Source organism: Homo sapiens, chromosome 11 (assembly GCF_000001405.40).
Source record: "Homo sapiens chromosome 11, GRCh38.p14 Primary Assembly".
Taxonomy (NCBI): domain Eukaryota; kingdom Metazoa; phylum Chordata; class Mammalia; order Primates; family Hominidae; genus Homo; species Homo sapiens.
In genome coordinates this window covers 31,447,279-31,472,357 of record NC_000011.10, presented here as the reverse complement: position 1 = coordinate 31,472,357, position 25,079 = coordinate 31,447,279, and the positions used below count along the sequence as shown (strand labels likewise).

The following is a 25,079-nucleotide window of genomic DNA, read 5'->3' as shown; positions in this document are numbered from 1 at the left end:
AAGTCTTGTATTTGACCAAATCAGTTTCAAGATGATGCCATATTGATGCTGGTCTGAGGAACCACAGTTTAGTAATTACTAGTTTAATGTTCTGTATCCTGGTGTGGTAGGTAGAATAATGGCCCTCCAAAGATGTCTGCATCCTAATCTCCAGAACCTTTGAATATGTTGCCTTACATGGCAAACGAGACTTCACAGGTGTGATTAAATTAAGGATTTTGAGATCATTGTGAATTATCTAGTTGGGCTCAGTGTAATCACCAGGGTCCTTAAAAGAGTAAAAAGGAGGCAGGAGAGAGAGAGAAACAGAGGAAGAAGTGACCATGGAATAATGGCCAGGGAGATTAAAGGCTTTGAGATGGAACAAAGGGGCTATGAGTAAAGGAATGTTAGTGCTTCTAGAAGTTGGGAAAGGCAAGGAAATGGATTCTCCCCTAAAGCCTTTAGAAAGAAACAGTCTTGATTTTTTAGCCCAGTGGTACCCATGTTAGACTTCTGACCTATCAACTGTAAGATTATAAATATGTGTTGTTTTAAGCAACTAAGTTTATGGTAATTTGTTGGCACCAATGGAATACTAGTACATCTGTAACCAGTTCCGTTTACCAGTTCGCTTTGTGCTAAAAGTTCCCAGTCTCAGCTCATAAGAAAGAGTAAATAAAAACAAGAGGCAAGAGCTCCCTTATTTTTCTACCATCAAACTGACAAAACTACCAGTATGTTAACTCATATTTTTCTTCCCTTTTATTACATTGGAGGAAGTACTAAACTTCTATGAAAACCCAATCTGTCGGCCTTTGTTTGATCCCATTCTCTATTGCCCTGTTTTTTTAAATTGAAGATATATATATAATTTAGCATCTAAATATATATATTTTAATTTAGCATCTTTAAGATGGAACACACTCCTTCAATGATTAGGAGAGACACAAGATAGAAATAATGGTTTTATTACTTACAGGTCCTGGATACATGACATACCTGGAGGCCATACACGGAGGTCAGGGAACACTTCAGAGGGAAGGAGAGGGAGAAAGATCCTCGGGTTAACACCTTCATTGAGGTCTAGGGCCTTATCCAAACAGGTTTCTCACTGGGAGATTTTTCTTGAACACTTAATAATTGTGTACAGTTATGGTACAGTATGATTTTGATACATATGTACAGTGTATAATGATCAAATCAGAGTAATTAACATATCTATCACCTCAAACATTTATCCTTTCTCTGTGTTGGGAATATTAAAAGTCTTATAGCTCTTTGAAAATATGCACTAAATTATTGTTAACTACAGTCACCCTGCAGTGCAATAGAACAGTAGAACTTATTTCTCCTATATAGCTGTAATTTTGCGTCTGTTAGCCAGTCCCTCCTTATCATGCCTCACACTTTCCAGCCTCTAATAATCACTATTCTATCTCCTTCTGTGAAATCAACTTTTTTAGCTTTCATGTATGAGTGAGAACATATGATATGTGTCTTTCTATGCCTGGCTTATTTCACTAACATAATTGTCCTCCAGGCTCATACATGTTGCCTTGTTTGACAGGATTTCATTGGTTTTTGTGGCTGAATAGTATGCCATTGTGTATATATACCACATTTTCTTTATTCATTCATCTGTTGGACATGTAAGTTGATTCCATATCTTGCCTATTCTGAATAGTGCTGCAATAAACATAGGAGTGCAGACATCTCTTCAACATACTGATTTCCTTTCTCTTGGATATACACCCAGTAGTGGAATTGCTGGATCATATGGTAGTTCTATTTTTTAGTGTTCTTTTTTATATATGTTTTATGTCCTGTAAAATATTTTTGTTATTGTCTTAAACAGCATCAGTATCTTTATCCAAATATGTATGTATGTACTCTTCACTTCTCTTCCTTCCTTCTTGGATTTGCCTGATTCTTTTTTTTTTTGTTTTTTGTTTTTTGTTTTTTGAGATGGAGTTTTGCTCTTATTGCCCAGGCTGGAGTGCAATAGCGCTATCTCGGCTCACCGCAACCTCCGCCTCCCGGGTTCAAGCGATTCTCCTGCCTCAGCCTCCTGAGCACCTGGGATTACAGGCATGCGCTGCCACACCTGGCTAATTTTGTATTTTTAGTAGAGACGGGGTTTCTCCTTGTTGGTTAGGCTGCTCTCGAACTCCCGACATCAGGTGATCTGCCCACCTTGGCCTCCCAAAGTGTTGGATTACAGGCATGAGCCACTGCACCCAGCCCATTTGCCAAATTCTATCTGATAACATTTTGTTTTTCCTGAATTATTCCTGTTAGCGTATATTTTATTACAGTTGTGCTGGCAAAAACATTCACAAAACTTGTTTTCTAAAAGTGTTTTTATTTTTTTCTTTAGCTTTTGAGGTATATTTTCATCAGACATAGAATTATAGTTTGGTGATTTTCATACTTTAAAAATGCCATTTTATTTTATTCTGGTTTTAATTATTTCTTATGTAAAGGTAGCCATTCCATTTTGTTGAACAGACAAAATTGTTTCTTTGAAAATAAGGTAAATTTCTGACCAATTTTAAACTTTTCTCATTGTCTTTTTCAGCATCTTGACTCTACTGTGCCTGGATGTAGCTGTGTGTTTTGTGTGTATCCTGTTCATGGTTTGTAGAATTTCTTGAGTTTGTGAGTTAAGGTCTTTCATCAATTTGGAAAGTTATCTACCAATATTTCTTCAAAATATTGCTTCTGTCCTATTCTCTGTTCCTCTCCTTTAGGTCTCTGATTATATTAGTACTGTTTCTCCTGGATTGCCTACCTGCTTTCCTCTTTGTCCTTCAGTCTTACTACTTTCTCCCAACTTGCATTCCAGTTCACTTGTCTCCTGTTAGGCTGAGCCTAGTAGGCAGAATCTGCCGGTATATTCATGTAATGCATTAATTTTAGTTATATTTTATTTTGTAGTATTGTGTTGTGTATAATTTCCATTTGATTTTTAATAGATTTTAGGTCACTGCTGAACTTTTGTCTTTCCTTCTGTTTTTTTTAATGTTAATCATAGTTATTTTAAAGTGTTCATATGTTAAGTGCAATACCTGAATCACCTGTTGCTCTCTTTCTGTTTTGTACTTTTTTTTCTCTTGGCTTTCAGTCATTTGATTCTATTTTATAATGTGCTTTGATTGAATGCAATCATTTAGTACTATTTTATAGCATGCTTATAATCTTTGGATTAAACTAAAAACTGTAGTAGCCCAATTTTTTAAATGGGCAAGGTGTTTGAGTAGATATTTTTCAAAGAAGATATACAAATGATCAATACACACATGAAAAAGGTGCTTATGAATATTTTGTTGTTAAGGAAATGCAAATCAAAGCCACAGTGAGATTCATACACACTGGGATGGCTACAATCAAAACATGGATGGTAACAAATGTTGGCAAGGATATGGAGAAATTGGAAACCTTATGCATTACTAGTAAAAATGTACAGTGGTGCAACTGCTTTGGAAAACAGTTTGGGCGTTCTTCAGAAAGTTAAATGCAGCATTATCTTTAATGGCATTTTCATCAGAGGAATCTTTTCTGATTCATCTTAAAGAAAGTATGCCTCACCCGTTATTCTCTATCACTTTACTATATTTTTCTTTACAGAAATTACTTAATGTATTTATGTATTTATTTGTTTACTTTGTGTATCTATGATATCTGCCCCACTATACTATAAGCTGTATGAGAGAAGGCATCATGTTCACTATTGTATTCCCAGGGCTGAACACAGTATCTGGTACGTAGTAGTAGCTCAGTAAATATTTGTTGAATGAATGAAGTCACCCTTTTTTCCCCAAGTGTTTGTTTTTTAGAAGTTTTATTCTACAAAAAAAGCTGAAAAAAATAGTGCAATGCACATTTGTATACACTTCACTTGGATTTAACAATGAACATTTGCCACATTAGCGTTCTATCTTCCTCCATATGTAATATATCCGTATGTGTGTATATATATGTGTGTATCAATTTGTCTTCATCTCTCTGTATCCATGATTATTAGCAGTAGAAGTGAACCATATGAAAGGAAGTTGCAGTCATAGCATTTTTCTCAAAATAATTCCTTGTTTATCTCCTATGAACAAGGTCATTCTCCTACGTAGCATATTGTTAAGAAATTTAACACTGAAACAGTGATATATTTTTATGTACAATATTCAGATTTACCCAGTTGTCCCCATGTCTTTTATAGCTTTCTTTTTCCTTTTGCTCCAGGATCCAATTCAAGATTTCATATTGTGTTTGGTTGTCATGTCCTTCTATTTTCTTGTAATTGAAAATAGTACTTTTAGTATAATTTTTCCTTTCATTAAATTTATACTTTTTAAGTGTTCAAGCTGGTTGTCTTGTTGAATGTCTGCAATATGGATGTGTTTTGATTGTTCATGATCAGATTTAGGTTACACATTTTTGGCAGGAATGGTACACAGATGATGATGTACTTGTCATTCCATTGGTAAGAGGCCACATGATATCAGTATGCTGCTAAATTTGGTCATTGTGTTAAGTTAGTATTTACCAGATCTTCCCATTGGAAAGATACCTTGTTCCCTTTGTAAAAAAAAAAAAAAAAATTATCTACTTTGATACTTTTCAAATATCTTTTTGACCAACAATGTTTCACCCAGTATATTTTAGCATGCATCAGTGGCCCTTGTCTGAGTCAATTATTACACTGGTGGTAATTTTACCATTCCTTCTACATTTATTAGCTGTCATGTTTTGATGAAGAACTTTCCCTATTCCCAACACATGCATCTTTTTAAAAATTTCATTTTTAATTTAATGTGTTATCAATTACTGTTACTATTTTTAGGCTTATGTTGTCTCAAATTTAATGTATTATCAATTACTGTTATTATTTTTAGGCTTATATTGTCCCACATTTGGCCATTGGATGACCCCTCAGAATGGTTCCTTTGTTTGCACCAGTCTTTGAGCACTGACTGTTCTGCACTGGTGGAGCATGATACTTAGAAACCAAAAATGTGGGCACTAAGTGTGCTCATAAGTACTATAGTGTCATTGCTTCTTACAATGGCCTTTTCACAGTGGACAGAGCTAGGATGACATTTTTTTATAGGCAAACAGACAAATATATACATGCTTATTTAAGTAAATTTGTTTTGATAACTCAAATTCATCCTTAAGATCCCTTTCCATATTTGTTACTTCTTTTTCTCACAGTGAGAAATGACTTAAATATTTGCTCACTTTTACTATCTGAAATATACATAAAATACTACAACCAACAACTACTAAGATACATTCTAGATTCACTTTCAATGTTTTTCCTTTTATATTTAGTTGGTATGTAATAATTGTATGTATTAATGGGATACAGTGATATTGTGTTACATGTATACAGTATATAATGATCAAATCAGGGTAATTAGCGTAGTCATCACCTCAAACACATCATTTCTTTATGTTGTGAACATTAAAGATCTTCTTGTACCTTTCTGAAAATATACAATAAATTATAGTTAACCGTATTCATCCAACAGTGCTGCAGAAGGCAGTAACTTATTCCTCCTATCTAGCTGTAATTTTGTGTCCATTAACCAACTTCTCATTCTCCCCTCCTACCTCCCCTTCCCAGCCTCTGATACCTATAATTCTACACTATACTTCCATAGGCTCAATATTTTTTTAAGCTCCCACAGATGAGTGAAAACATAAGGTATTTTTCTTCCTGTGCCAGATTTATTTCTCTTAACATAATGTGCCCCAGGGTCATTCATGTTGCCTTGAATAACAGGATTTCATTCTCCTTGTGGCTGAATAGTATTCCATTGTGTATGTATAGCATGTTTTCTTTATCCATTCATCTGTTGATGGATATTTCGGTTGATTCTGTGTCTTAGCTATTGTGAATAGTAGCTACGCTGCAATAAACATGAGGATGCAGGTATCCCTTTGATATACTGATTTCCTTTCTTTCGGATTAATACCCAGTAGCAGAATTGAGAGAATTATTTTTTGATTCTCTAGAGTTTTTAAAGAAACCTCCACACTGTTTTCCATGACTGTACTAATTTACATTCCCACTAACAGGGTATATGAATTTTCTTTTCTCCACATCCTTGCCAGCACTTTCTTTGTCTTTTTTGATAATAATCAATCTAACTGTGGTAAGATGATACCTGATTATAGTTTTGACTTGCATTTCCCTGAAGATTAGTGATGTTGAGCATTTTTTAATATATTTGTTGGCCATTTCTATGTTTTCTTTTGAAAAATGTCTATTCAGATCATTTGCCCACTTTTTAATTGGGTTATTTGTTTTTTTGCTGTTGGGTTCCTTGTATATTCTAGATATTAGTCCATGTCAGATGCATAGTTTGCAAATATTTTCTCCCATTCAACATGTTGTCTTTTTACTTTATTTTCATTGCTGTGCAGAAGCTTTTTAGTTTAAATCCGTTTGTCTATTTTTGTTTTTTCTTGCCTGTTCTTTTGATTTCTTAGCCATAAAATCTTTGCCTAGACCAATGTCTTGAAGTGTTTCCCCTATAGTATTATAGTTTGATCTTATTTATAAGTCTGTAATTTATTTTAAGTTGATTTTTATATATGGTTAGAGATATGGGGACTAGTTTTGTCCTTCTACATGTGGATATCCAAATTTTCCAGCACTATTTATTGAAGAGATGTCCTTTCTCCAGTGTATGTTCCTGGTACCGTGTCAAAAATCAGTTGGCTGTAAATACATGGATTTATTTCTGGGTTCTCTATTGTGTCCCATTGGTCTATGTGTTTTTATACTAATACCATGCTGTTTTGGTTACTATAGCTTTGTAGTGTATTTTAAAGTCAGGTAGTGTAATACCATCAGCTTTATTCATTTTGCTCAATATTGCTTTGGTTATTTGGGGTCTTGTGGTTCTGTATGAATTTTAGGATTGTTTTCTAATTCTGTGAAAAATGACTTTGGTATATTGATAGAGATTGCATTGAATCTTTAGATCAAATTGGGTAGTATGGTCATTTGAACAATATTAATTCTTCCAATCCATGAGTATGGGCTGTCTTTCCATTTTTATTTTTTATGTCCTCTTCAATTCTTTCAGTGTTTTTGTAGTTTTCATTGTAGAGGTCTTTCACCTCCTTGGGTAAAATTATTCCTAGTTATATTTTTAATGTTTTATAGCCATTTTAGGTGGGGTTGCTTTATTGATCCCATTGATTTCTTACTCAGCTAGATCATTCCTGGTGAATAAAATGCTACTAATTTTTGTATGTTGACTTTGTATCCTGCAACTATATTGAATTCATTTATCAGTTCTAAAAGTATTTTTGGTGAAGTCTTTAGGTTTTTCTATATATAAGATCATGTCATCTGTAACCAGGATAGTTACTTCCTCTTTTTCAATTTGGATGCCCTTTATTTCTTTATTTTGCCTAATTGCTATGGCTGTGACTTCCGTTACTATGTTGAATAAGAGTGGTGAAGGTGGGCATCCGTGTCTTGTTCCAGATCTTAGAGGACAGGCTTTCAGCTTTTCCCCCATTAAGTATGATATTAGCTGTGGGTTTGTCATATATTGCCTTTTATTGTTTTGATGTATGTTCCTTCTTTGCCTAATTTCTTGAGAGTTTGTATCGTGAAGTGATGTTGAAATTTATCAAATGCTTTTTCTGCATCTATTGAGATCATTGTATGGTTTTTGTTCTTCATTCTGTTGATGTGCTATATATCACACTGTTTGATTGGCATGTGTTGAACCATCCTTGCATCCCTGGGATAAATCCCATCTGATCGTGGTATATTATCTCTTTAATGCGTTGTTGGGTTTGGTTTGCTAGTATTTTGTTAAGGATTGTTGCATCTGAGCTCATTGGGGATTTTGGCCTACAGTTTCTCTTTTCCTGCATCTGGTTTGGGCATTAGGGCAATGCTGACCTGGTAGAATGAATTAGGAAGAATTCCCTCAATTTCCAGTTTTTTGGAATAGTTTGAGAAGAATTGGTGTTGGTTCTTTTTTATATGTTTGGTAGAATTCAGAGGTAAAACCATCTGATGCTGGGCTTTTCTTTTTTGGGAGACCTTTTATTACTGGCTTCATCCTTTGCCAACTTTGTGATGATAATAAGCAAGTTACTTTACTACTCTTAGGCTTTTTTTTTCTTGTCTATAAATTGAGGATGGTAATAATATCTATCTTACAGAGATAGTATATGTAAATCTTGACATGTTAAGCAGATGTTACATATTATTATCGATATATTTTAATAAATTTGATCTGAGAACAGTATATTGTAGCCTAGGCCTAAGAGTTAGGCTATTAGTTAAGAAATGCATGATACATAGTTGTAACAGTTAAATAGTAAAGGACAGATATTAGAAATATTTTAGATGAACAATATTTTAAAATTTTATATAGCTTTAAAAAATCTTTAAATGGTTCTTTATGCTGTTGTTTCATAGTATTTATGTGTTCCTTTTGTTACATCAGTAGTTAATAGCTCACAAATGAGTGTATCTTTTTATAAAGTACTTTGACATACATTGCTGAATTTGATTCTAATAATCATTCTATGAGAGTATTTCTACTAGGCCCCAGAAGGGTTAAGTAATTGTTGAAGATTATACAAGTTAGTAAAATAACCAATGTGAAACTTGAATCTCCATATTCCTATTCTAGTGATTTCTCCATTATTTCCTATTACATGGCAAGAAGTAATATATAGCAAGGAACTTTTATTAGTCCTTTGAAAGAGTTACTATCTTTTTTAAGCATCTGCCTTAATAGAAGAAACAACCAAGACATGGAAGGGGACAGACTAGTTTATAATCTACTAATTATATAATTCATATGTAGACCCAGTGACATTTGAATATAAACTTTGGTAAATCAAAATATTTAGTGGCTACAATTTGCCATTTAAAATATCATTAGAACTGATAACAAACTCTTGGTTTCCTGCACCAAATTGTATTAGGCACTTAGTACATTTTGGGTGATTGTAAAATATTTTACAATAGTTATTTCTTAAGTGTTTTTAAATAGTATTGATCATGAAACTTTTTGAAATTTACCATCAGGCCAATGGTGGCAGAGTCTACATAGAACTATGCTTCGTGGTGTTCTGGGGAAAACCTTTCGACTTGTTGGCTATACTATTCAATATGGCTGTATAGCTCATTGTGCTTTTGAATACGTTGGTGGTGTTGTCATGGTAAGTTTTTATGTTCAAGAATATTCATCTTAAATATATACTTTCTTTCAAATGGAAGGAAAGTGTGTTTTTCCTTTTGAAAACCTAGTTGAAGTTATTTAATGACTAAACTGTGAAAGTTAAAACATAAAATCTTTCTAAATATTGGAATAATAAGAGAGTGTGTTTGAATTGGCACTGATAGAAGGTATAAGGACCATTACTTAAATATTTTCTGTATTCTGTTTCTAATGGGCACAAAGGGTCCTTTTGAATAGTATAACAATAATAGTCATTACCATTTATTGAATCCTATTTACTGTGTTTCAGGATATGTTTGATGTTTTACACTTACTAACTCATTTAATCTTTTACACTTCTTTGAGATACTTACTAGTAATCCATTATACACATGAGGAAATGAACTGAGAAAGCTTAAGTAATTTACTTGTTCCAGGTCCCACAGTTAGTAAGTAACTTGAAATTTCAACACATATTTGTCCAGTTTTCAAAATTCCAGCTCATAACCACAATAACTGTAATTAAAACAAATTAATCATCTGTAATTAAGACAGATTATTCTGCCTAATGTCTATATTAAAATGTTAAAGTTTTTCCCTATCCCCAACTAATACTTTTTCTTAATATTATATTGGGAAACTACAAACTGTGGCTGTTGATTCAAGCCTTTTGTCATGTAAGTGAAAGAATAAATTGATTGACCAGCCAGTCAATTTTTTTTATTGTTGTTATTACTGTTTTTTTTTTTAAATTAGGTTTACTTTATCAGATTGACAGTCACATAACCTCCAGTTAAGGTGGAGTAATGGAAATATATATATTTAACTGAAATTTCCCTTCTTTTTTTTTTTTTTTGGAGACAGGGTCTTGCTCTGTTGCCTGGGCTGGAGTGCAATCAAGTGATCTCAGTTTACGGCAGCCTCTGCCTGCTGGGCTCAAAACAATTCTCATGCATCAGCCTCCCAAGTAGCTAGGACTACAGGCGCACATCACCATGCCTGGCTAATTTTTGTATTTTTAGTAGAGATGGCGTTTCACCATGTTGGCCAGGCTGTGCACGAACTCCTGGCCTCAGGTGATCTGCCTACCTTGGCATCCCAAAGTTCTGGGATTATAGGTATGAGCAACTGTACCTGGCTGAAACTTGCCTTCTTGATTTTTTTGTAAGTTAGATTGGTACTTCCAAAGGTAGCAAACAAACTGTAATTGTATTTCCTCCTATTTCTGCCTGAGTAGGAACTTTTGAGTAAAAAGTTTTATTTACAAATAGAGTAAATGGAGACTGTCGGATTTAGATTTTTAAAGTGGCGATGATAGTTTTTTCTGATTCTGAGGTAGAGTTTGAGTATCCCTTATCTGAAATGCTTGGGACCAGAAGTGTTATGGATTTTAGATTTTTTTGGATTTTGGAATATTTGCATATACATAATGAGATATTTTGGGGATGGGACCCAAGTCTGAACGCAAAATTCATTTATATTTCATATGTACCTTATATGCATAGCCTGAAGGTAATGTTATACACTATTTTAAAGAATTTTGTGCATGAAACAAAAATTTTGACTGCATGTTGGCTGTGATGCATCACATGGGGTCAGGTATGGAATTTACCATTTGTGGTGTCATGTAGACACTCAGAACATTTCAGATTTTAGAGCATTTAAGACTTCAGATTTTTTATTAGGGACACTCAACCTGTATATATCAAGATTATTGTTTTGAGACATACAAATAGGAAAATCTTTAATTGCTTCATTGTAAAGATGGGTTCTATTTAGGTTGCCAGGTTTGGTCTTGAACTCCTGGCCTCAAGTCATTCTTCCAAAGTTTTGGGATTACAGGTGTGAGCCACCATGCCTGGCCATGAAAATCTTTAAAGTCCATCTCATCATGCTAGTATTTTTCAGTAGAACATTTAAGTTGCAGCCCCATGAAATGAGTAAGCTATTCTCTTGGAAGAGGAAGATGGGCATAAGCTCACTGAGAATAGTATAATACCATTTAGTAAATCATCATCATGTTCACTGGATTATATCTGATAGTAATAAGAAAATGTATTATTCTCCCATTCATTCAACCAATATGTATGGTTTATCAATTTTGTACCAAACATTGTTCTTGGCTTTGGTTATATAGCTAGGAACATGAGAGAGATCTCTGCCTTCATAGAACTGAGATTCTATAGGGTGGCCTAAATTTGGAAACATAGGTAATGTTGTTTTATTCAGGCATTATAATGTGAAAGCAATAATCCATTTATAATGTATTTGTCTATATTTCCAGACTTAGTGGCTACTCTAGAGTTGAACTTACTTGAGAACTGCCAAATTTTCATGAATCATCCCCCAAGCTTTAGGAACATTTGCTTGATTTTCTTTCTTTTAAGCTTGCTTAAAAGATTTATGTTAAATTTAAAAGAGATTTTGAATTTAGATTACAAATTACCTCTCTTTTCAGTGTTCTGGACCATCAATGGAGCCTACAATTCAAAATTCAGATATTGTCTTTGCAGAAAATCTTAGTCGACATTTTTATGGTATCCAAAGGTAAATTTCTGTCATGGATATATTAAATTTACAGTGAAAATACACACACACATTGTGGCTTTTCTGCAGTTCCTTAACTTTATCTTTAAAACCTCTTTCATAAATAAACATATTAATAACCAGCTAGATAAAATTTTGAGTCAAATATTCTCTTTCAGTTTGAGAAATTTTAATAGTTTCTCAAACATATGCAGTGTCTTGGGTCATTGTATCTCTTGCATCATTTTGAAAAATAATTAGCAGTCCCTTACAATATACATGTAAGCTTAACTTTTTTAATTGGGCTTTAGAATATTTTGAGTTAAGAACTAGGAACTTAGGGATTACATTACAGATCCAAATCAATGTTTTTGTTCTTTAATTTTAAAAATAATCCTGTAGTTCTATTGATTGCTATCTTACTTTATATGTAGTCTATGATGACCGTTTGATGGTTTTTATTTTTTTAAATTTTCTGATATACATTTTTTGGATGAGGTCTTGCTCTGGCTCCCAGGCTGGAGTGCAGTGACACGATCTCAGCTCCCTGCAGCCTCAACCTCCTGGGCTCCAGTGATCCTTCCCCTTAGTCTCCCAAGTAGCTGTGACTACAGGTGTATACTCGCCGCGCCCAGATAATTTTTGTAGTTTTTGTAGAGACTGGGTTTCGCCATGTTGCCCAGGCTGGTCTCAAACTCCTGAGCTCAAGCAATCCGCTCACCTCAGCCTCCCAAAGTGTTGGGATTACAGGTGTGAGCCACCGTGCCCAGCCCATTTGATGATTTTTAGATTACATCATTGTATATGGCTGAGAACCAGGAATTGTATATATTATGAGTCTCCTGATTAATTATATTAAGTTGAATAACTCCTGGGCAAATATTGTGTGTCACTAAACCTTTTAAAGTCCTATTTCACAGCAGGCTGAGGCAGGAGAATTGCTTGAACCTGGGAGATGGAGGTTGCAGTGAGCTGAGATCATGCCACTGCACTCCAGCCTGGGTGACAGAGCAAGACTCCATCTCACAAAAAAATAATAATGATAAAAAATCCTATTTCAAGTGGTGGTTCCAATCCTTGTGATACCCTTTATTCCAATTAACTCTATGAGAATGATTTATTCCAAATGAATGTCAAGTATTAATAATTTAATATATTTTCTAAAGAGCACCTCTCTGATACCCTAAAATTTTGAGTCCATTTGTTTTTTATAATTCTGAAAAAAATCTATGCCTGCTTTCATTTCAGTAAACTACAGATTTGATTCCCTTGAGCTAGTGTTTAGTTTATGGCATATTAAGTAGGTTTAGGCACTTCTCTTTCACTATTCACCTTTGCTATAACCTATTTCACATTACTGAAAATTGTTAAGAATACATTTCTTCACATTTACTGATCTTTCACCAGCCTTAGATTCTGCAGATAGAAACTCTCTTGGTCAACCTGTATGGTTTGGCATGCTCCCTAGGTAATTCTTCTTCAAATCTTTTACCCATAACAACTTCTATATACTTAATTGTAGATACAGGAATTATAAAATAAAACTTATATAATAGATTGTGTTGTTGCTCCCTTTTCTTTTTAACTTATATCAAATTATCCTTATATAGCCTTTGAATTAACTGGAGACCTAGCCCCACTGTAGCATGAAACCAAGCATCTGTGTTCCATGCCAGTGACATAATTTTATTCACAATAATCCTTGGGCATCCTGAATGAGGAGATGAACTTGTTGGCTGAATAGTTTTTGAATACACAGCTTGATATTTTTAAAAAAATTACTCGTTGCATTCAGATAAGTGAAACAAATAACTACATTCAGTAAATGAATTCAGATTCTTTGAAGATCTTATTTTGTACCCTATTCATCCAGGTTACAGGACAGCTCAAAATCTGGCATTTATGAGATATACCAAAGTAACTTTTAGAGCCAAGATAGCCAGCTGGTAACTTTTACTTAAGAAATATTACTGTCCTGAGTATTCTCTTTCTTTTACCCACAGCACAGAACTCAAGATTTCAGGGGAATCTTTGACCCCTGGCAAGGTGTCCTGTTGTTAGCTGCCTGTTTCTAAATGTAAAATAACCTTCCATTTAGGCAAGAATAAAAGTTTGCATATCTAGTATCTAAAGCACATGGATGTCTCTTCAGTCAACTGCACAGAACACTCAACCTTGAGACAGTCAGATTTTTACTATTGCTTATTCTTTCAACAAATAGTAGTGAGCACCTAATTTATAAGATGTACCATACATTATAGAGAATGTTAAGATTAATGAGATAATTGACACTAGTTTTCAAAAGCTTACTGTGTAGTAGAATAATAAGGATGTTTATAAATATAAATGAGAAAATTTTTAATAAGCTTCCTTTTAAAACTATTTGAAGGAGTTAAGAATCCAGCCGATATGTATTTTGATCTAAACGCTATGCATATATCTAGTTAGACTACCAGAAATAAAGTTTATTTATACTACTTTCTACAAAACAGCACGACTGAATTATGATTTCTATGTTGCCATTCGAGTGCAAAGTTTGTTTTAAGGGTCATATTGATTATTTGATCAAAGAACTTAAGCTTCATTAGACACCCATGGAAAAACGTCTCTTCCTCCAAAGCTACCCAAAATCAACTTTGATGGCGTGTTACAATCTTTGCAAATTTGTTCATCTGAACAGATCCACTGACATGGTTCTAGTTGGTTAGAAAGAAAATACCTTTATTCTGTTTTCAAAAGAAGGCAACACTGTGTTGCCTCCAAATTATAGAATGTAACGATTTGCTACCTTTCAACTCTTACCAAGAATAGCCTCAAGAGATCATCATTGTAAATACTATTTCTGCACTCTGTGTAAAATTTCTGATAAAGATGGTATCTTTTATTCTCTTATATAAGAAAGTTTCTTGTGAATTTCTCTTTGATTTAGTTGTTAGGGAAAATTTTGTCTTACCTCCCAAGCTAAATGTTATTTTATTAATTAATGATTTCCATGTAACTGGTCTTAATTTCTTCTGACTTGGCTCCCAAAGAGTTTAGAACCCATTTTAATGCTTCTATAGAGCAGTTATTAGGTTTCTGATTTCTTCATAATTTTCCTTTTATTCTTATGACTTTTAATATTATTTTGACATATGCTTCATTAAACTATTTCTGGAACTAGGTACAATTAATAAGCAAATATGTTAAATCCTTTTAAACGTGTGTTAGTCAACAGAATTCACATATTGCTCGTTTTATGCAGAAAGAGTATTGTGTTCTGTTTGACTGTGGTCATTAGTCCTACGTTCTATCTTTCTTCCTTTTCACTTTTTAGGATCTTTCTTATTTTTTATTACCAGATAGATTGTCAGTTCTTCCATAAATCATGACTTCTGTATGTAATCAGACCCTTATTGGTTTTATATGTTTGATATCTCATTTTATTTTTCAGAGTGTATATTTAGGCAGCTTTTAGCATTTTATTTTGTTGTATCTTTTGATTTTTTTTCTCAAATATAAGTTCTTTTGATATGGGTTATAGGACTTACATGCTATCATTCCTCAATTATTTGAGTTCTAGGGAAACATGGATGATGCTTTTACCTTTTTAGTGTGCTCTAGAGTCAATCAGTGCTACTGGCTGGACCGCAATATTTATTTACTTAATTTGTTAGTATTTATATAGAATTGTGTGGAGGGTTTTTTTTTCTTTTTTTGGTTCACTTGGGGTTTTTCTTGGTTTGTTTGTTTTGTGTGTGTGGTTTTTTTTTTTTTTTTTTTTTTTTTTTGGAGACATGGTCTCAGTCTGTTGCCCATGGTGGCACGATCTTAGCCTCACTGCAACCGTGAACTCCTGGCTTCAAGCAATCCTCTTGCCGTAGCCTCCCAAAGTGCTGAGATTATAGTTGTGAGCCACTGTACCCGGCCTATGTAGAATTGTTTTTCCACAATTTTGGTTCTAAGAATTTGGACACAGGAGTAAAGCATACTGGATACAATGCAAAAGATAATTCTTGTAGAATTATCTGAAAGTTTAGAATCTTCTGAAATTATCAGAAATTTTAGATAGCCTTTTTATCACTCTTATTGTTGGATTCTCACCTAAAGTATTCAGTCACAAAGGTTCTCAAAGCCAGTAAATGTGTGGAAGAGTAAGTATATGAGAGGATAAAGGTTATGGCTTTGTTTAAGTTGTCTTATAAAAGTATTAAAGCAGTGCCATGCATGTGTTTTTGCTTAATAAATAATACAGACATTTCTTTGACTTTTCCCCCTCAGAGGTGACATTGTGATTGCAAAAAGCCCAAGTGATCCAAAATCAAATATTTGTAAAAGAGTAATTGGTTTGGAAGGAGACAAAATCCTCACCACTAGTCCATCAGATTTCTTTAAAAGCCATAGTTATGTAAGTAACATTTCAATTATGTTATTTTTGGTGTCATAATTGATTAACATTAACTGAGTGCTGACAAAAGAAAATAATGTTTATTCATATTTTGAATGTAAGAAAAAAGGGCATCCAGTAGAATTTAAATGTTTATATCAAGAACAATTCAGCCGTTATATTTCATGTATTTTAGTTACTTTTAAAACCCTGCATAAACATCTTAGTAATAATTGTTACAGGCAAAATTTACCAGTGGATGCTAAAATTATTGGACAAAGTTTGAGGAGAAATAGAATTTTACATAATCTGAACTTATCTCTCCCAAAATATTTATTACAAAGGGAAAAAACCTTAGAGGTGAAACCTGTCAGGCACCACTTTAACTGAGTTATCTTCATCATCATAACACTACATATCAACATAAGGTAGCCTCTGGATTGAAGCACCAAGAAGGGCACTTGCAGGAAAAAAAAGTTACAACCTCAATCTACTCATGAGAAAACATAAGACAATATCAAATTGAGGGTCATTCTACAATATAACTGATCAATACTCTTCAAAAATGTCAAGGTCATAAAAAACATGGAAAGATTGAGGCCCTGTCATTGATTGGAACAGACAAAGGAGACATGATAACTAAATGGATTTGGGATCCTGGCTTAGAAAGATTTTCCACTATTAGGGGGAAGTCTGACAAAATAATAACATCCTATTTAAATTTTGATAATCGAAATTGTGTGTATTGAAATTGTATACAACCACCTTGCCTGTACAGCTAGAAAAAGTGCAAGAACAGTAAAATGGAAGAATGAAGAGTAGATAGAATGTGTTAGCTCCTTTCACCAGTCACATGGCTTCTGTAACAGAGCTTATGGGGAAGAGATGGCCTTTTGTTTACTCAGCATATACTCTTCTTACTTGAATAATTATAGCTTAATTTTCTACTTTACTGTAAATCTTCTGTGTCACTATCAAATTATTAATGCAGCTGTTTGTTAACTAACATTATCTCTATATTCATCCTCAATGTAAACACATAGTTGAATAATTACAATGTCATCGTAAATTTATTTTGAACCGTAATAGCCTCTGGTTGCCCTATAAGTAAGTTTGACTTTTAAATAATCAATCTTATTTATTTACCATTTTGTAATAGACTGTGGTTCAGCTGTACAAGTGTTTTTGATATTTATTACTACAATGCTAAATACGCAGTAATTGTTAACTTATGGTGATAACAGTGTTAAAGATGATAGTGTGCTGTCAGGTAACATATTTTTCTACGGACACTGTATCCTCTTCTTAAAAAGGGTTGATTTTCCATTTAGTTTCACCTTCATATGACTATTAGCATTTCCTGAGATATTCTAGTCACTTCTAAATTACTTTAGCATCATGTGTGTACTTGAAAGCAGAAATGATATCAACAGACAGAACAAATAAATAGCATCCTCTATGTATTTAAATGCCATATCATTGTTGTTGATTTCTTTTTAAGAGTTATTAGAGGAGGATGTCTGTACAAAAGGATTCAGATAAAGTCTTTGCTAAGTAATCAGAGAAGATAACCAGCACTGTAAGATGTAAATTTTTTAAATGTTCTATTCAAGGAAAATATTCATTGAATTTTGTTTTTGTTTTTAATTGATGCATAATAATTGTACATTATTTATGGGGTATAGTGTGATGTTTCAGTACGAATATACATTGTATAAAAATGAAATTAGGATATTTACCATATCCATCACCTTATGTATTTTTTATTTCCTTGTAGTGAGAACATTCAAAATCCTCTCTTTCAGTTTTTTTTTTTTTTTTTTTTTTTTTTGACATGGTCTTGCTCTGTTGCCCAAGCTGGAGTGCAGTGGCACGATCTCAGCTCACTGCAACCTCCTCCTCCAGGGCTCAGATGCTCCTCCCACATCAGCCTTCTGAGTAGCTCCTTCAGCTGTTTTGAAATACACAACACAATATTGTTAACCATAATCACCCTACTGTGTGGTAGAACACCAGTAGGGTGTTCTATTACCGAGTTTTTATATGTTTGATAAATGTGCAAATTATATGACATTGCCATTTTGTTCCAGGTGTATTCCATTCACTTTTGTTGGACAAATTTATAAGTATACAGTACATCATTCTAATAATCTTGGTCAGCACTTATTTTGTACTTCCTCCATACTGTTGAGAATCTTTTCAAAGGTTAACTTATTTAATTATCACAACAGCAACCCGATGAGTAGGTAACAGTATTTTACTGATAGGTAATCTAAAGAAGGAGGCTAAATAAATTGCCCAATTTCGAACAGTGAGAGGAAGAATTAGGATTGAAACACATATAGTGGCTTCAGAATCTGTAACCCTCACGATGCCACTACTACTTCTTTCAGAATACCCTTTGCCTATCTATTCTGTTCCTATGTCATCAAATTATACTTACTTTAAAAAGTATTTGTCTTTATTATTTTTAAAAAAACACAGGGAAGTATTTCTGATCAGGGGCAGTATTGGTTCTGAAAGACAAGCCAGTGTTTTTGAGGGTTTCTCCCTTGCCAGTTTTTCTATGCTGGGTTATTCAAGTCCTAAGAATTGTGTAGCTATTACAGAACCGCTTTAGCAAATGTGTTCCATTAATCAAGGTGATTTATAACAAAATTTCATCCAAGTTTGGAGTGCTCTGAAAACATAGCCAAAATGTTCGCAGGGTCTACCCCTCTCGTGTGTCCCTTTTTTTAGCTATTTCAGAAGCACACTGGTGCAATATTTTACGAAATGAGTTTCTTCCCCTTACCTCTGCATCCTCTAAGAAAAATCATTGTTGTTTATGAGATGAAGATCCTGCTATTCATATCTTGATTGAGCTGCTTAATAAAATGAACAATATTAAAATATGTTTTGAATTCCAGGCAAAAAAAGTTTATTCTTGTATGTAGGTGCTTCAGAAAGCAAAACACCAAAATTGTTCATTGGAACCTAGCCTGTAGAGTTTAGCATATCAAAGAAATAGCATTGTTTGTAGGTTGGCAGAAAAGAACATAAACAAATCATTGGTTAAGTGATGTAGTGATGTGGGATCATTTTATTCTTTCCAGAGTTCTTTTTTGTTTGTTTGTTTTCCATTCCAGAGTTTTAAAAGACCACATGGCAAGCAACGCTTATAAATCAGCTTTATTTTTTACTGTTAGGTATTTGGAAACTAAGCAGTTCCTATTAAGATGCTGTTGCTGGCCGGCCGCGGTGGCTCACGCCTGTAATCCCAGCACTTTGAGAGGCCAAGGCAGGCAGATCACCTGAGGTCAAGAGTTTGAGACCAGCCTGCCCAGCATGGTGAAACCCTGTCTCTGCTAAAAATGCAAAAAATTAGCCAGGCGTGGTGGCAGGCGCCTGTCATCTCAGCTACTTGGGAGGCTGAGGCAGGAGAATCGCTTCAACCTGGGAGGTGGAGGTTGCAGTGAGCCGAGATCGCGCCACTGCACTGCAGCCTGGGCAACAAGAGCGAAACTCCGTCTCAAGAAAAGAAAAGAAAAAAAAAGATGCTGTTTGCTTTCCTTATTTTGAAGGTACTGAAGCCAATAATTCTTTCCTGGGGTTATGTATGAACTGAGCATTGGCTACTGTAAAGATATGAGATTAATTTGTGACTCTCAAAAGAAACAAATTGTCATAAGCTCAGACATCTTGAGTATGTTGCCTTTCTGTATATTCTACAGGAATTCCTCAGTTTGCTGCTTGAAGCCACTGCTTTATCAGAAAAAATAATTTAGTTGGAAGTAGGAGCATGTAGCAAATAAGAAATAAATAAAATGAGTTGGCATTCTCCTATTGGTTTGCACAGCAGGCAAAATGCAAAGTAAACCTCTATTTAATTCCCTTAGGGAATGTAGGGCCAGGGCTCAGAAATACACTATAATTTTGTTATAAAGCCAATTAAAAGAAGAAGAAAAGCACTCATAATGTTTATTAGTATAATATTGTGTGATAATCCAGGACTATGCTTTTAATCCATGGGATAACTATGAAATAGGCATTTTGAAATATGGTAAATTCCTATCAACAAACATGTTGTAAAATCTGCATCTAAACAAACTCCCATGACACCACATCCTCCTATAGGGAAGAGTTGTGTATAGTTACTCCACTCTGAGCTTCATATTATTTTTTCGAACTCATTCCAGTTAGACTTTGGTCTCCACCACTTCACTGATGGTTCTTGTCAAAGTCGCTAATGACTTCTCTTGTTGTCTCTCCAGTGATCAACTCTCAGTCCTCATCATACTTGACCTATTGTTAATATTTGAAATAGTTGTTCTCAAAACCTGGTTTCACTTAGTTTTTGGGACACTGCTTTTTCTAGGTTTTTTTCCTATCTTTCTTCTGAATTTCCTTTATTGGTTCCTCCTCATATCCAAACATTGGAATGACCTTCAAACCCTGAAGTTAACTAAAGGTTCATATTTTAAACTTCTGTTGTTTATCTACACTTATACTTTAGCTGACCTCATCCTGTCTCATGGTTTTATGTACAGTACTTTTTAACTTACTCTCAAATTTATATCAAGTATAACCTCTTCCCTGAACTCCAGAGTCATGTCTAATTGTCTAATATCTTCACTTTAATGAATAATGGTCATCTCAAACTTACTGTATCCAAAGCTAAAATCCTGATTTTCTGTCCCAAAATGGCTCCTTCCATACACTTCCCATCATATGGGGAAGAAAACCCCATGCTACTTGTTCAGGCCACAAACCTTAGAGTTATCCTTACTCTCCTCTTTCACCCTACATCCAATCCCGTAGCAAATCATGATTATACCTTCTATATATAATCAGAATCAAACCACGTTTTGCCACTGTCACTGCTACCATCCATTAGTTTGCAAGATAAACTCATCTCTCTCATTTTGTTGCAATAATTTTTGAACTGTTTTCTTTGCTTATACCCTTCCGATTTTCTGGCATCTCTACCCTTTCCATTATACTCTCCACACCGCAGCTAAGGTCATCCTTTTTGATGATGATGCTTTTTAAGAGCAATTATGTCACTCTTCTGCTTAAAGACCCCAGTGGCTCCCCATCTCACTTACAGTAAAAGCCATAGGCCTTATGGTGGCCTGCAAGACCCTGCATAATCATTTTGCCTGCTGCCTTTCTTGTAATTATTGTGTCATTGGAACACAATAATGCCCATTCATTTATCTGTTGTCTGTGTTTGCTTTCTCTAAAATGTCAAAGTTGAATAGTTGTGACAGAAACTATATGGCTTGCAACACCTGGACTATTTCCTATTTGTCCCTTTTCAGGAAAAGTTTGCTGACCCCCTGATCTAGAGCATAAGATTCTTGGTGACAGGGACTCATTTTAATCGCAGTTGATTTCATATCATTTCAACTGTGATTTGGCATCTAGTAGATTTTTTAAAATTCTTGAAGGGTGGACAGATCTAGATATATATGAATAGGGTGCTAGTTTCTTTTCTACTTCTACTCCTTTTTTTCTACTAGTTTCTACTGCAAACTTGCTCCCAAGTAAATGCATGATGTTACAACTTCTCAGAAGATGTTCATGGAGCCTACCACGCTGCTGAACTGCCCAATCTGTGGTCATTCTAGTCTTCATAGACTTGAAAGCTAAGCTATTTCCAGTGATAAGACTACCTGACCACCTTATGACAATGGCAGGTGAAAGTTGTAGAAAATATTGGAATGTTCCTCTTACGGTGTACCAGGAGAGCAGAGTGCTGATTAAATGTTTCTTTTCCTAAGTGACTTCTATTTAGGACTGCATATTTTTCAGGCCTTTCTTTAAGCAGAATAAAAATTCACCAGGCTCTGAATTGACTTATCACTATGGAATACTGAACTTAGTTAAGATTAAGTCTCCTAAAGTATTGGGGGAATTGAGGTATGCTGGGCTTACCTTGTTCTCATTTTGAAGGAAGCTTTGGTGCCCCTGAAATGCTATGGTGGTTTTATTACGATGAAGGCTAAGTTGCCCTTGCAACATTCATTGCCTACTAATGAGGTTGTGTGGTAATAAGAGTTTCTGCATTTCTGTAGTCATACATGTGCCTTTTGGACATATTGAACTACTATACAGATAATTTGTTCTTTTGGTCCTTTTATTGGTTTATTGGCTTAACGATGGGTAAAGTTGTTACCTGAAGTTTATAAATTTCTCCTTCTAGGATTTTCTGTGGTTTATTGTAAAATGAAGAATCATTTTTTAAGTCTTTCAATTAAAACCTTATTTATTGAATTTTCATGTCTTAACCATAGTAGCTACCCTGTATTGAGAATAGACATATTAATAGAATATGATTATGAAAATTTCAGTGTATTCTGTGGTTAGTGTGGTTAGTGGATAGCAGTCTTTTGCTATTGTTACAGGAAACAAATCTGTACTTATTAGAAAAATCATGTTTTTACTTTTATCTGAGGGCTACCAAAGATATCTGGCTATTTAATTTAAAGGTTTTTGGTTGTCTTTGGTACCATAGATGTCAGCATTATACACAAAAGGTGAAACATTGTTCACCAAATAGTAATCCATTACCACAGCAGAGTGATGGGAGGTGAATAAGTAATGTAGTTATTTCTTATGTTTTTCTTTGTGAATTGTAGAGTATGTTAATAACATCATCATTATTACTGGCAGAAATGTAAGAAGTAGAGACAATTTTACATTTCAGAAAGGACTGATTAAGTGTTATCAGGATGTACTGGTGGTATAGTGTATTAAAATGGAAATGTAACAATATGGCAATAATAAAGCTGTTTTACCGTGTATTAGAAAATATTTAAATAAAACTGATGGACAACCTAAGAAACAATCTTACTAATTAGCATTACAAAATGGTCACTTTATATAGTTAACACTAATAGTCCTTTAATGTGTACTGTGTATTTAGGTTATAGTTTGAAACCCTGAATATTCTAAATGCTGTCTTTCTGTTTGTTTAAATGTCATTTCCCTTAGCTAAAAGTCAACCATCTGGTCTTCTATTACCACTTGTATTATAAACAGAAAAAAGTACTTCTCTGTAGAGAGAGGAATCATCAGATTGAAAGGGCTTGTGTATTATAAGCTGCTGATATACTAAATCCTTATGTCATTTAAATAGAAGAACTGCCTAATAATGTCACTTATTACAACTAGAGTATCTAAACAAGCGACTTGTTTTTTGCAGACTATAGTGATAAAAACCTGTGCTACACATCCATTTCTCAGCAACGGCTCCTAGGATAATCAATCATGGCATACTGCTAATGCCTTGATTGCAGCTGATATGGAGGAAATATGTTTACTCTTTTGCTAAAGTGAAGTTCACTGCGGAGGTGACGTGACTTTTTCATTCTATAGCTAACACAATTCTGAAGATAAATTTCACTCATTGTTTACAAGTCTGAAGTGTTTTTGTTCAGATGTCAACACTAAAGAATAATCTTTGAGGCTCCTAGACTTAAAGTGTTTTCTGATGTGTTCTCTGAATATTTTCAGAATAATTTGAGCTTAGTTTAACAGTAATATGGAGTTTATAATAATCTTATTTTGTAGTAGTATATTTTATATGTATATGTTTGAAAAGATGTATATATGAAGATCAGCATCTCTGTTGAAAGAGTAGCAGGTTGTCCTGAAATTTGTATGTGTTGCTCACCTGGAAATATTTTAACCACTCAAAAGTTATAAAGTTAGTGCTATTGGTATGAATCTAGAGAGGCAGGATACAGTTGAGTAAAATGAAAATATTATATGTATTTTTATCTGCAAGTTATCTGGGACTTCTGTACTTTAAAGTTGCTTAAAAGTCATTTGCAAAAATTAAAGAACAAAATTGTAACACAGGTATTCAGTGAAAGCATCTGAACCAGACTCCAAACTCTGTTGGTAGTAAGGAGAATATATTCCAAGTGTGATGTGGCTTCCTAATCTAAAACAATCTTTTTTATTTATTTATTTTTGTCTTTCGGAGACAGATTCTCAGTCTGTCAACCCAGGTTGGACTGCAGTGCACAATCTTGGCTCACTGCAACCTCTGCCTTCGAGGTTCAAGCAATTCTCCTGCCTCAGCCTCCTGAGTAGCTGGGACTGCAGGCGCTTGCCACCATGCCCGGCTAATTTTTGTATTTTTAGTAGAGGCAGGGTTTCACCATATTGGGCAGGCTGGTCTCGAACTCCTGACCTCAAGTGATCTGCCTGCTTCGGCCTCCCAAAGTGCTGGGATTACAGGTGTGAGCCACCGCGCCCAGGTGCTATAACAGTCTTTACTAGATCTACTGGAAAAACTGCTGTTGAGTAAGTGAAATATATTCAACTCCCTTTTGGAATAAGCAAGTAAATGAAGTTTTGATGTTACCACTTTGGGTAATTAAAATTTGACAGGTTTTTGTGAACAACTTAATCTTAGCCCATAAAAATATTCTCACCAAACCAAACAATTCTCTACCTAAAACAAGAATGAAAAAAAGGAAAAATAGATACAAAAGCAGGTATGCATATTATAAAATGGCTAAAGATGTTAAATTAGCAAGAAAATATTGGCATTACAAGTTATTGCACTGCCAATCTGGACGTTAGAGTGTTTTCCTCCTGGGACAGAATTTTCATAATTACTTTAAGAAAATGTATAAATCACTTAGCATGGCACAGCTAGTGCTTGTATCCAACTAAACACAAATGCAGAGCTAACAAGAAAAGGAGACTAAGCAGTATTTAACAAAGTACTTACAATTATAGGTAATTTAAAATTCTTCGATGCAACTTAAGATTCTCATCTACTTTGTGTACATTATGTATGATTCTTGAAAGCAAGAAGGATTAGAGAAACCTTCTGTTGTCTAAAGAGACTTGAAATTTGACCTGACTTCCCAGTGTAAGGAAAGTCAAAGTAGGTCTAGGGACACAGACTGAGACCGATAATGGACTTCTGACCCCAGACCAATCCTAGCACTCACACATCTTCCTTAATGAGGCTGCCTCAGAAGCAGCCAGACCACTGG

The 25,079-nt window shown here is 34.3% G+C and overlaps 1 protein-coding gene across 13 annotated transcripts in view; it reads left to right on the top strand.

Annotated features, from left to right (window-relative positions):
* Positions 1-25,079, top strand: part of IMMP1L (inner mitochondrial membrane peptidase subunit 1) — a 77,222-nt gene that overhangs the window by 37,265 nt on the left and 14,878 nt on the right. For 5 of the 13 annotated variants that reach the window (XM_047426521.1, NM_001304274.2, NM_144981.3 and 2 more), the window contains 3 exons: positions 9,053-9,186; positions 11,644-11,732; positions 15,972-16,098. In XM_047426521.1, coding sequence (XP_047282477.1) covers positions 9,082-9,186; positions 11,644-11,732; positions 15,972-16,098 — 321 coding nt within the window. In that variant the 5' untranslated portion in view covers positions 9,053-9,081. Of the gene's footprint in view, positions 1-2,560; positions 2,641-9,052; positions 9,187-11,643; positions 11,733-15,971; positions 16,099-23,266; positions 23,415-25,079 lie in introns of all 13 variants that reach the window. The other 8 variants (XM_011519945.3, XM_011519942.2, XM_011519943.3 and 5 more) reach the window with 5 other exon arrangements.